The 13859-nt window shown below is 37.0% G+C and overlaps 1 annotated feature.

The window, feature by feature from the left end:
* Positions 5950-6499: an enhancer, noted in NCBI's record as "OCT4-NANOG hESC enhancer chr6:99164203-99164752 (GRCh37/hg19 assembly coordinates)". NCBI's record gives its function as "activates a minimal SCP1, AML or CMV promoter by ChIP-STARR-seq in naive H9 embryonic stem cells {active_cell/tissue: H9 hESC(naive)}" and the evidence as "EXISTENCE:reporter gene assay evidence [ECO:0000049][PMID:30033119]".

The following is a 13859-nucleotide window of genomic DNA, read 5'->3' on the forward strand; positions in this document are numbered from 1 at the left end:
CACAAGCATAGCTCTCACCAGACTGTATTACATCGAGCGTTTACCTGCTCCTCAAGGATAGAGATGGCACTTCTGTGTCTTTGCATCCCAGAACTGAGCTCAGCATCTGATAAACTGTTCATACCAATCACTTGGTAAATAAATGAATGAATTAAACTGTAATTTCATTTGGTGGCCTTCAAATCTATATCCTGAGCCCTGAACTTTCCTTATAATACCATATTTTCAAACAACAGCTGTACATATCTACTTCTGTATACCACTGTCACCTCAAAACTCAAACACCTAAAAATGAATTTGTCATATTTACTTTGAAACAAGCTCCTCTCTGCCATCATTATTTGTATTCCTGGTACCAGCATTCTATCAATCAAGTCTCCTCAAAGCCTTCAAGTCATCCTCGACTCCTTCCTGCCTTCACCTTGCATATAAAGTATTTTTCCATATTCAGTCCACTCATTTTTCTGGATACCTCCACTTCCTTGCCCACCCCCACCATCTCCATCCGCGTTTTTCACATTGAACTCTGAAATGTTCTCCTTGCTGATTTCTCCAGGCTCTTCCCTATCCTGTACACATAACATGCAACTGCCAAATTTTTCCTAAACCATGACCTGCATTTCATCAGGCTGCTTTTCAAAAGTAGTCAGTGGATCCCTACTCTTTAAGGAATAAAGTTAAAACTCTTGAATCTGTGCTTTGCTCCAACTGTATAGTCTGCACTAAAGATGAGCTCCTTGGAACAGAAACTCAGATGTCTGTGTCTACCTCCTGTCCAGCACTTTAACACAGTTAGACCCTCGAGACACATTAGTTAAAGAGACATGCTTGGCTCCAGTCTTCATTGCTTTGGGTCAAATGCCCTCATAAGAGGCATTAGCCTACCTTTCCAAAACCACCACATTCTTTCACACCACAAGCAACTTCAGTTCGAATTGAATGAGTCTTCTCACTGTCTCCAGGAGGGATTCCTTTAGGTGGTTCTTATTGGCTGCTGCATCATGTGTTTGGGAACTCTCCTGCCTCAATACTCTGTAGTCTCCTCTCCATCTATAGAAAGCATATACATCTTTCAAATCTCACTGTCCTGCATAAATACAGCTTCTAAATAAAAACAGAGAGCTTCCAAAATTAGCAGGGAGGTCCCCTTGAGAATACAGTGAGTAACTATCCATGAATGTGCATAAGAAAACTACATGCTGTCTAGGAAATAATCAAGTGAAAGGATTAGAGTTAACAGTGTCCAGAGCTTACACAGGATCAGGAATAGTCCCTGTTCCCACAGCCAGCCTGGAAAACCTCACAGTCCACAATGCATTTGGTAGAGTACATGAAAAGGTCTTGTCTTAGTAGTGAGGAATAATTTGCCCTAGACCAAGCACTGCTCCAGACCCATCTAACAAATAAAAAGAAAGTCCCAAAAGGATCAAACTGTTCCACATAATATAACTGCATCCCAGAATATATGTAAGACTCTTTTCAGAAATAGAAAAATATCTAGCACCTAATAAGCTAAAATTTACAAGGTCTGGCATCCAATCAAAAAGCACCCAGTGTGCAAAGAAAGAGAAAAATATGACTCATAATGAGGAGAAAAATCCATAAATCTAACATAGGTGTTAGAATTAACATACAAAGACATTAGAAATAGAGAGACCTAAATCACACTTGTAGAATAAAAATTACAATGTGTTCAATAAAAAATGCACTGGGTATAGTCTTAGATTATAGATTTCAGAATAAAAGACTGTTGAGCTTGAAGGAATGGTAATAAAAACTATCCAAAATGAAATAGTAATTTAAAAAATCTCTAAAATGAAATGCAGAGAGAAAAAGAGAGCCAAAACAATGAAGAGAGCATCAGATAACTGTGGGACAACTTTAAGCGTATAATTAAAAGGGAAGACATAAAAAAAATTTAAAGAAATACTGGCCATTGTTTTTTCAAATTTGATTAAAAACAATAATCTCACAGATCAAGGAAACTCACAGAACCCCAAGCATAGGAAACATTCAAGAAATCTATACAATTACACATCATCATCAACTTGCTCAAAAATGGTGATAAAGGGAAAATCTTGAATGCAGCCAGAGAAAAATACATGTTATATACAGGGGAACAAAGATAAAGATGAGAACCAATTTCTCATTGACAAAAAAATGTAAAGGAAATCCTTCAGAAAGAAGAGAAATGATACCAGATGAAAAGAGGGATCTACATAAAGAAATAAAGGGCAGAGGAAATTGTAACGCCATGGATAAACATGTTTGTCTCTTATTACTTAATCTCTTTCAAACATAGCTGATTGTTTAAACAAAAATAGTAACAATGGAGTATATGGTTTAGTGTGTGTGTGTGTGTGTGTGTGTGTGTAAAATATATGACAACAACAGCACAAGATCTGTAGGTGGAAAATGGTATTATCATAAGGTGTTTATTACTATACATTCAGTGATACAATGTGGCTTGAAGATAGACATATTATACATTAAATATGTATACTATAAACCCTAGATTGAGAACTAAAATAGTTAATCTAATAAGCCAACAAAAAAGGTAAAATAGAATGATTAAAAAAATTCAGCTAATCCAAAAGAAGACAGATAAAGGAGAAAAAGAAAACAAGGAACAGACAGGACAAAACCGAAAACAAATGGCAAGATGATAGAGTTAAATCTAAATACACAAATATCCACATTACGTGTAAATGGCCTAAGCACCCACATTCATATGCAAAAATTAAAATTGTAATTGAGATGCTTAGTCCATTTACACAATATGAATATGTATATATTTGTTTAGTTCTCCAATTGGTTAAAAAGGCAATCCTCAACTATACAATCCCTATAATAAATATACTTTTCATATAAATGTACAAATAGGTTCAAAGTAAAGGAATTGAAATGATACACTATGTTAACAGTAATCAAAATAAAACTGAGTATCACTCAGTGAGTAAATATCAGACAAAGTAGACCTCAAAGAATTCATATGGAGATTTAATAAACCTAAAAATACCCAAAATAATTTTGAAAAAGGAAAAATTAGGATACTAACACTACCTCATTTCAAGAGTTATTTTATAGCTATAGTAATCAAGACAGTTTGGTATTGATACCAAAGCAGACAAATCAATGAAACAAAATGGGGTCCAGAAATGATCTCTGCACATACAAATACAACTAATTTTTGAAACATGTGCAAAGACAATTCAGTAAGGAAATAATAGACTCTTCAACAAATATTGTCGGAAAAATTGGATATCCATATACAAAAAAAAGAAATTCGATCTATATCCCATACTGTACACAAAATTTACTCAAAATGAATCACAGACCTAAATGAACAGGCTAAAACTAGAAAACTTCTAGAAGAAAACCTTTGTGACCGTTAGTCAAAAAATGCTTAGATACAACTATAACATGATCCATAAAAGAACAAATCAATAAATTGGACTTTATCAAAGTTAAAAACTTCTGTCGTGCAAAAGATTCTTCAAGCCACAAACTATGAGAAATGTTTTAAAGTCCTTTATCTAATAAATGACTTATATTCTGAAAATATAGACCTCTCATAATTTGATCAACAATTCAATTTTAAAATGGGCAAAAGATTTAAACAGACATTTCTCCGAGGATGGTGAATAAGCACATGAAAACATGAAATATGAAAAGCCAAACATCATTACTCATTGGGGAAATGAAAATTAAATTATAATGAGATACCACAATTTTTTTTTTAAATCAAGAAAATATAAGTTAATCCATAGTGACAGAAAGTAGATGACGGAAAGTAGCTTTGGAGGAGGTGCAGGGAAGCACTAGAAGGGGCAAAAGAACACTTTATGAAGTGATGGGTATGTTCATTATCTTGATTGTGATGATGGCTTCATAGGTGTGTACATAGGTCAAAACTCACCAAAAGATACACTTTATATATGGGAAGTTTTTGTATGTCAATTATACCTCAATAAAGTTGTTTCTAAGATCTAAAAAAAAGGGGATTAGAATATTTACTAATCAATATGGCTCCCAGTGACTTCTTATAGACTTGTGGAACGTTCAAGTTGGCTTCAAGTCCCACTGCCTCATTTTACACAGTGAGCTGTATAGAACAGAGAGTAAGAAAGTAACTAAGCTTGGACTCTTCAATTGGACTTATCTTAGTTTGAATTCTGGCTATGCCCCCTTCACCTCTCCAAATCTCAGTTTTTCTAAATTATAACCTGAGGCCAACAGAAGTTGTCTGTTAGGGTAATTGTAAGGAGTAAGTGACAGGATATATGTTAGGTATTTAGCCAACACATAGCATGGACTCAATAACTAATAGCTATTATTAGAAAACTGAAGCCCAGAGAGATAAAGCAACTTACTCAAGGTCACACAGTTATGTCGTAGCAAGAACAACATGCAAGAGCCATGTCACCTGTCTCCTGCTCTTGTGTTTTTTCTCCCATGAGCTGAGGCCCCTCCTGTAGTTTGCAAAATCAAACACACTGCTTAACAGCAAAGGTGAAATCAGGAGGACCACAGTAGAATATAGCACCACGTAAACTCAGCTGCAATACCAAGCAGTAAGAGTTGACATACAAAATTCTGCATAGCCACCAAACTAAGAAGCTGACATGGATTTTATTTCAGGACCATTTATATGTGATACTAAACACAACACAGGCTTCAGCTGGGATTCATGGGAATAGAGGCCAGAAAGGGGACAGTAAAATTCAGGAACTTCTGTATCACTAACACGAGTTCTCGATCTAAAGTCCAAGAACCTTAAAAGATCTCTGCGTAATCTTTTGGGGCCCCCTGAATTCCCTGAAATAGCATGAAGAAAGCATATAGACATTTCCTCCTTCTAGTTTTTATCAAATTCTTAAAGAGGTACATAACCTAACTAAAATATTTAAAACAGCTGTTATAATTAGTAAGCTGATTTTAGAGGCAGAAATAAATTCGAAAAATATCATAACCATGAAGAAGTCATGTTGAAATATAACTTGAAATGATAATTTCGATCTATTTATTTTTATTGAATGTGAAATGAAGTCGATAAACAACACTAAGGCAACCTCAAGGGTTACAAGCAGAGGCAAGGCTCCAATAAAAGTAGGGTCCACTCTTACAATTGATCTGACAGTTTTGGTTGACTTGAGTAAGTAGGCAGGTATTCAATGGACTAAAAATAAAATTGGTTCAGTTTCTACTACGGTAACCCTCATTAAATCTAAGTAAAATCCTTGTTCGTAACATAACCTAGAATTGTTCAAAAGAGCTTTCAATGGCTCTGGAAAACAAGAGTTATTCTTAATCTCAAACATTTCCTAGTCTGCTTTTTAAAACCTATGAGATTTTTCTAAATACTTGTCTGGCACATGTATAAGGTAAATTCTTCATAGGATGAGGAAAGGAAAGCATCCTCTAGAAAGGGGTCATGATTAAAGCTTATTTTCCTCAGACTGGATAGTGAAATCAAAGTTTAAAATGCTTCTACAGAAGGATTGGTGAAAGATTAATAATTAATGTATGGCAGCAATATGGAAATTTTGAAATGTAAATTTGATGAACAAAATGTGGCATATTATGATAAGCAGGAGCAACAAGGGAGAATGGGTGGAGGCGGGTCTTTTGCTCAGAGACATAATAGAAAGAAACACTGATTGGGCTTGCTGGGTTTTCTCTTTTTTACAAAATGCAAACTTCCATTTGGACATAGGAAACTGCTAAAAAGTTACAAGGGAGTGAAAGAAAAGAAAATTTTTTCACCAAAACAGATCAGGTTCACTTGTAGCATTTCCAAGGGTCTTTCTCTTTTAAGAAAAAAAAAAAAGAGAGAGAGAGAAAAGTTTAACACATCACTTTGATATGTGCTCTCCTATCCAGTTCCCCACACTTTCGATTTTCTTTCCATCCCCTTTGGTCTTGTCCTGTTAGACTCTTTTTAAAAATCCACTCCAATTTTCCTCTAATATTTGTGTATAATTTTTTCTCCTTTTAACTAAGCCCCTTTCGAAATGCCTCCCTTTGTGTGTCTCCAGGCGGGGGGCAGGGTCTTTGCTCTCCTCTTTGGCCCAGTTTACAGGGGCTTGGGGCTTCACTGAGAGCTCTCAGGAGAATTGTGCAAATTGTACCCGGGCTTCCGTTGGAAGAGCCACTCATCCTGGCGACCCCGTGCTGTGCCTGAGTGCATCAAGGCCGTGTCAACCCCTTGATGCTGCCTCACGCTGTGATCTTCCTTTGCACTGTGTCATATGTCAGGATGGGTTTTCCCACAATGCATTCTTTAGTTCAGTGTCAGGGAAAAAGAACAAATAATGTGTTCCTGTGGCAGCCAAACATGCTACCTGCAAGGTTGGAGAGCAGAACACATTTTCCTCCTCTGGAGTGAATTCCCCCAGCTGAAGCTACCTTTTCCTTCCCATTATTCTCACTCTCCCCACCCCTTGCCTACCCTAACTTTAGCTCCTCAGCAAAGTGCTTCTGCAAATTGAATCATTCATCCGGCAGAAAAATTTGAAATTTTGCACAATCTTTATGAATTCATTGATCAGTTTATGCTAAAGGCATTTACAGAAGAAATAGCCATATGAGGTGTTCTATATTCTCTGTAAAGAGCTTAGTCATGAAATCATGTGAAAATTTGCAGGGGGGCAGAAGATTCTTCAGGGATGGACCACTGAGAAATCATCTCTAAACACATAAAAATGTCTATTTTAATTACCAATTGATCATCACTTTACCTTTTTAAAAATAATCATGAAGAACACCTCATTGGCACTTAAAATAACCAAATGCCAGTTTTGCAGCCCTTAATGTGTCTTTCTGAGAAAGGAGAGACGTCTTCCCTCTGATTATCGTATTTATTACCTGACTACACAAGATCTCTTTTACATGCTTTATAGGCTGTAGCATATATGGCATTCAGAGGTGTTCATGCAAACTCATACCCACCGGCCTCATAGACAGAAGGTGGGAGACAAGTCCTTAGAGTATCAGAAAGGATCAGTGAAAAAAAAATTCAGACTTTCTCTCATCTCTGGAATATCCACAGCTTACTATAAAGTGTAAAAAGAAAAAAAAGGATCCGATTAGATACAAGTCATCCAGCAGGCAAGAGGCGGCTCCCCTCTCCCCCTGCTATGCAGCATCGGCATCAGCAGGAAATCTGTTAGAAATGCAGAATCTCAGGCTCCTCCCCAGACCTACCAAATCAGAATTTGCATTTTAGATGGATTTTTTAACACATTAAAGTTTGAGAAGCACGCACTGCACTATGGTGCTGAGCAGGTTTCCGAAAAGATTTGGCCTGAACCAGTTACATCCAGATCTTTTGCTCTGAGAGCACATACAACAACCTTACCTTGCTCAAGCATAGACATAAACCACACTTATGAAACTATAAATGGTATTCTCCATATCAATGAAGGAAGAAAGCTAAATAGAAACACTAGGTGCAAACTTCTCTTTTCTATTGATAGAGAAATGCATATGAAGTATATATAATTTTATATATATATTAATGTACATGAAAATGGCTTAGCAACAAAATAGAGGAAGATCCTGGATTGCTATAACACTAAATGGAGAACGGAGAACCCTGATAAAGGTTAAAACAAAACAATTCAAATTTGCAAATTGTGCTGACTGCATAATTCTCAGGGAGTTGGCAATATGATATTCTACATTGAATCATTTAGATACTTACACTGTTCATAAATTGAAAATTGTTATTTTTTCCCTCTAAAATGAGCTGCTGAATATGTGTGAGCCCAGCTGTAAGAAGCCTGCTTTCTCTCTCCTCTCTCTCTCATCACTCATTGTCAAACCATGAATGGTTGATGCTATAGCACGACTCCTTAGTCCAAGGAAAGTATTCTTTAAACTCCTTGGTAGAATTTATCCTCCCTACAGCTCTGTTTCACCTCTGCCCTTATAAATATACATATAGATATTTACAGTTACATTCCAATTTGTAACAAGGTGAATTCTTGGACTTTTTTGTGTGTGCGTGTGTGTGTGTGATAGATATAGATATAGATATAGAGATAGACAGAGAGAGAGAGAGAGAGAGACGGAGTTTCGCTCTTGTTGCCCAGGCTGGAGTGCAATAGCGCAATCTCGGCTTACCACAACCTCCACCTCCCAAGTGATTCTCCTGCCTCAGCCTCCCAAGTAGCTGAGATTACAAGCATGTGCCACCACGCCCGGCTAATTTTGTATTTTTTGTAGAGACCGGGTTTCTCCATGTTGGTCAGGCTGGTCTCGAACTCCCAACCTCAGGTGATCCACCGGCCTCGGCCTCCCAAAGTGCTGGGACATTTTTTATTATAAAATTCATGCTTGCTTATTGATAATTGTGTTTTATCATATGTTTCTAAATGGGAAAACCTCATTTCACTAATGATAAAGCTGAGTTCAAAGAATTCTTTAGAAGTGTTGTGTATAAACAATCATGAAAGAGTATTCCCAACCATAACAAGCCAGGCCCTGCTTTCCTACTTTTTCACAAGCCCGGGTTGAATTTTATTCATTACATTAATTTCTTATCATTTCAGCTTACTCATTTCCCTTTTCTTTTTATTACTACTTATTTTTTATGTTTTTATTAATAGACTTTATTTTAAGAGATTACAGAAAAATTTGAGTAGAATGTACAGAGTTCTCACATAACCCTTCAAACTCCTCCCTTTTAAGTTTCCCCTGTAATTAACATCTTGCAATACATTAGTTGCAATATTGACAAATAATCATTAACTAAATTCAATACTTCACATCAGGGTTTACTTTTTGTATTGTACAATCTATGGGTCTAAACACTCATTTTTCATTGCATCACTGCTATACTCATTTTTGGATTTTCTTTCCACTTAAGAAATGTGCTCCTATTAATCACCACATTAACAGAATTAAGTAACAGCTATTGTTTTTTTCTGGTTTTGTGTCCTTCTCAACTCCAGATAGTAGCCTTTTCTCATAGAATCACCCTTTCCATTAACATTTATTGAGCAGCTATTGCATTCAAAGGAACATGGTGGGTACTGCTAGAGGCTTAGAGACTTATCTGACATGGACTCCTCTTGTGGAACATAGGCTCAATTAGGAGGAATACGACATGTATATAAACAAGACAAGGATCAAGAGAGAGCTCAGGAGAAAAGTCATGGTGAACTGAATGAGACAGAAAAGACAGACTCTTTGTGGGAAAGGCAGCATTTGAGAGCCTGGAAGAACCAATAGAATTTGAAGATGAGTTGATCAAATATAGGGACTGGCTAAAGGAATGCCTCTAGTAAAAACACTGAAGATAGAGAACTTGAGACTTGTAAGAGAGTTGAGTCCACACTGACTGAATTGCAGGAATGACCAAGAAACCTGAAGAGTGGATTATTCATCTCTACGGTGAATACTCTTAGTGTCTTTAAAAAGGTGCTTCTCAAAGTGAGGTAACAGAACATTCCAAGGTTGCTTCTTAGAGCCACGTATCTCATAGCATGGTACTTGGGTCACCTAAACAGAAACATTCACCTGGGATATTTATTTCCAGATCCTACCTTACACTCACCAAATCAGGATCAAGAGGAAAGGGGTGAATATAGAGATCAGGGAACCACATTTTTAACAAACACTCCAGGTGATCCTTATATGCACTTAAGTATGAGAACTGCTGATAATTTCTTAAGACAGCCAGGAAATGAACAAGAACAAAAGGAGATGGAGTTTTGCCCTTGTTCTCCAGGCTGGAGTGCAATGGTGTGATCTCGGCTCACCACAACCTTCGCCTCCCGGGTTCAAAAGATTCTCATGCCTCAGCCTCCCAAGTAGCTGGGATTACAGGCACGTGCCACCATGCCCAGCTAATTTTGTATTTTTAGTAAAGATGGGGTTTCTCCATGTTGATCAGGCTGGTCTCAAACTCCCGACCTCAGGTGATCTGCCTGCCTCAGCCTCCCAAAGTGCTGGGATTACAGCCATGAGCCACCATTCCTGGCCCCACAAGTTTTAAAAATAAGTACAAGACTTCAAAAAAAAAATACCTTTGTGGTAAATATAATTCACTCCTGTCTCTCATTAGGGATATTTGGATGGAATGTATGAAGAGCACCCTACCACAAGCAAACAGGAAACTCTGATATACTGCTAATATATTGAAAAATATACACATTATTTGGCATAAACTCTTCTGTGCATATCTGTATAAACATCATCCTTATCTGCAATGATCAATTTTGGCCTCCTCCACACCTCCCCTGGTTTGATGACAGACCATAACAATGTCACTTGGCTATTCTTGAAAAACAGCTAGTAAATGTTGATGATACTTACTACAGCAATATTTATGTGAGAATCCTAAAATACTTGGGAAAATGTTTTGAAGGTGCAAAGGCTGGCACACTCGTAAATTCTGAGTAATGCTGCAGCTGGGCAGAGATATGAAGTTCAATGGCCTCTGCTTTTCTGCACTGTTTTATTCATTGTTTTCTACACTCGTATGACACCTTCTTAGTTTAACTGGACATGGAGCTTTTCCTAGCTGGTTAGCTATTGAATTGAAGAATTGAAGAATGTCATTGTTTCCTGAGTTCCCTTTGCTTCTTGGGTCATCTTTACCTAGAATGAAGAAATCAATTTGATGGCCAATCAGAATAACCAAACTATGATTCTAGGCCATTTAACTTGGATTCTTGAAGATTACAGTTTAGACTTTTCTGTCCAAATAGAAGTAAAAATAGGGGAAAAATTGGCGTCTTCAAAATCATGTCTATAACACAATACATCTGAACATAATGGTGTTGATAACAAAAATACAAAATTCTGCCTGTGACAGAAATTTTTAAAGCTACTGAATTTACTAAACAATACGGACACAAGAATGGATGTAATTTATTACCAGAAAGACCAGGGAGTTTTATAGGCAAAGGCAGCCAGCCTCTGATTTATAAACAACAGATTACCAATTATCCACAAGGGCAAACAGCTGCTATTTCCCAATTCCAGTTCCCATCTCCCACGAACACCTCAAACATGTGGGTAACAGGCGTGTGGCAGAAGCATTTGGATTGTCCCATTCCCTTTGAATATCTCTCTGTGCTTAGCAGACTACCCAGGGCATAGACGAACTGTATAGGCACTGAGTCAAACTGAATCTGCAAGTTATTACAACATCCTCTATGCTGCTCATCTCAACCTGGGGGATTGGCTTTTCACTACCTTCAATTCCATCACAATAATATTGGTTATACCACCTCCACTTCAAAAATTATTCTCCAGATGGAGATGCAAAGTAGAAGGTGAATGGTTCTATTTTCTCCCAGTTATTATAATATCATTATATCTGCTTAAAGCAAGAGACGTTTCCTTTTGCTTATGCATCTCTCAAATATTTGTAAAAAGGTAACATTTTTTAAGTACATTGTATTGTTTTTGTGTTTTTCACAAGTCCCTGTTCCAGTCTGTAAGATCATGCCACTGTATTATTGGTGGCATGCCCTTCTCTCCATGTTTAGTGCATTACCAGAGCTCATTTGAGGGGACCTGGACAGCTACATCCATCTTGTTGGATATAAGGTCCCTACCCTTCAATCATTTGAAGTCATCAGACTTTCCTTAACAGAACCTCTCATCTTACACAAGTTGCTAAATTTTCACAGTCTTTGGTCAGGGATTCATACCTATATTTTCTCTGAGCTTTAAAAAATCTACTTTACAAAGTCCAAATTTTATCCGATAATGTTCAGTTTTCTAGCCCTTTGTCACGTTAAAACTCTAGGATGAAAAGTAATTTTCCCTACAGTTTCATTAATTTTCAAATTCTTGACTATTCTTTCTTATTAATCAAAATAACAGACCACAGTAATTCTTTCCTGGGGACCTTGGGGACCCATTATATCTTCCTGATATACACACACACATTTCTTTCTCTGTGTGTTATGACATCTCTAGACTTCTCCAAAACAAATTTTTGAGTGGGGCAAATATATGGGGTCAAAGCCATGAAAGTAAAGAGACACCCCAGTTTTCTCAGTAGCTGTAACTTCATAAATAGGACCTAATTTTTGCAAGGCAACTAAAGAACACATCAGATTAGATGCTATGCTTTCCCAGAGTGAAACTTCCAGCAAAGGGCCAAATATTTTATTTGGAGTCCCTCATGTCTGCTTTACTTTGATTCTGTTATTGTTGTTACCTGAATTGTAATAGCTTATTTCAAAACCTTCACCTGTTCAGTGAAGCTTCAGATTAATAAGTATATTCGGTAGACAGATAGATGATAGACACATAAATACACATACATATATACACACATATAGATATTATACATACAAACACACATGTGTATACATATATATGTTATTTTTGAAGATGTAGCTTTACACTTTCAGGAATATTTATCTGTTTAGTATAAGCCCTTGTTGATGACACAGACTATCTGAGAGTTCTTTTTAGCTTCTTTGCCTCTTTGCCTGGTCAATCCAAACTCAGCAGTTATATTTAATAGTAATTTGGTATGAGAAAAAGAAGATGCCTCTTAACCCACCCTTGAGTTTAGAGTGGTAAGAGATAAAAAGTTATGATAGCATTCTGGTTTTGAGAGAATCCTATTTATTTCTCTTTTGTGGAAGTGCACTTGAAAAGTAAAACGTGAAACCCTACCCCAGTGTGAGATTAAAAGCAGAGGGAGGTTTTCCTTATAACTACAAATGATCTACACTGAGAGAACAAGTAATGATGAGTTTTTGAAAATGATAAGATTGTAGCAATCCAAAGCACTGCAAAAAATTGGCAAATTGTAAAACGACCACACACCAGAAGGAGCCACAGTGAAGCTCTAATTTTGCAGGCTCCCAGCCTCAGCAAATGGAGGAGACGAAGGCAGCAGAAATGCTTTTCCTCTTTCAGGGGCTGCCAGACCTTCGACCTCATGAGATATAGGTTAGCTGTGTGGTCTTCGTCTGAGAAAGTTAAAGGGTAATGGCCACATGGCACAGGGCAATTGAGATATCTGTAAACTCATTTCTGTCATTGCTTTAGGGATACAAATCCTGTTGGCTTTATTGAATGTGGTAACTGCTGGTATATAATGAACATTAACCAGGTCTGCAGAAGTGACTGCCACCACTGACTAGATGGCTCCCTTTGGAAATAGGTTACAACTTCCAGGGATCAGGGAAAGTGATGCCTGTTTAAGGAATGGGAACTTCATAGGTGGGTAAGACTCTGGAGACTCTAGAAGCTAATAGTCATCCATTGGCAACTAATTCCTTGACATCTACAGACCACAGTCCCCTCATGGTTTAAAGTTCCTTATTCCTTTGGAATGAAACTAATTGCAAATAAAACCCTAATAATTAAACGAGGAAGTACCCAAATGTTATACGTACTTTGCAAATGTATTGAGACCCACATCTAAAAAAAAAAATTTTGAAATGTATTTGAGATTTATGGTCATAGTCATAAAAAAAGAACCATTAAAGATTCTAAAAAACCATGACCTCCTTGTTCAGATTAAATTATCCATTTATCAGTCAGCTGATTAGGCAGTTCACCTTTCCCTGCCCCATCACAAGTGCTATGTACCAGCCCCAAAGACAAAGCTTTCCATGCCTGATGGTGCTAGAGCAATAGATTGTCTCTTGAAAAGTAAATGATCACTATTTCCCCTTTTGCACCATTACCAAATAGCTCTTTTTGTAAAGTCTTCATTGCTAATTATTTTCCAAATGTCAGTATTGCTTACTCTTCCCTTTATTTTGTTCTTAAAGAGAAGATATAAGCAATTAGCTTAACACTTTATATATTAAAAAGTATAAAATGAACTTTATACTGAATTCATGTCTTAATTCTGGTTGTTTTCCCATGGT

Source organism: Homo sapiens, chromosome 6, assembly GCF_000001405.40.
Source record: "Homo sapiens chromosome 6, GRCh38.p14 Primary Assembly".
Taxonomy (NCBI): Eukaryota; Metazoa; Chordata; class Mammalia; order Primates; family Hominidae; genus Homo; species Homo sapiens.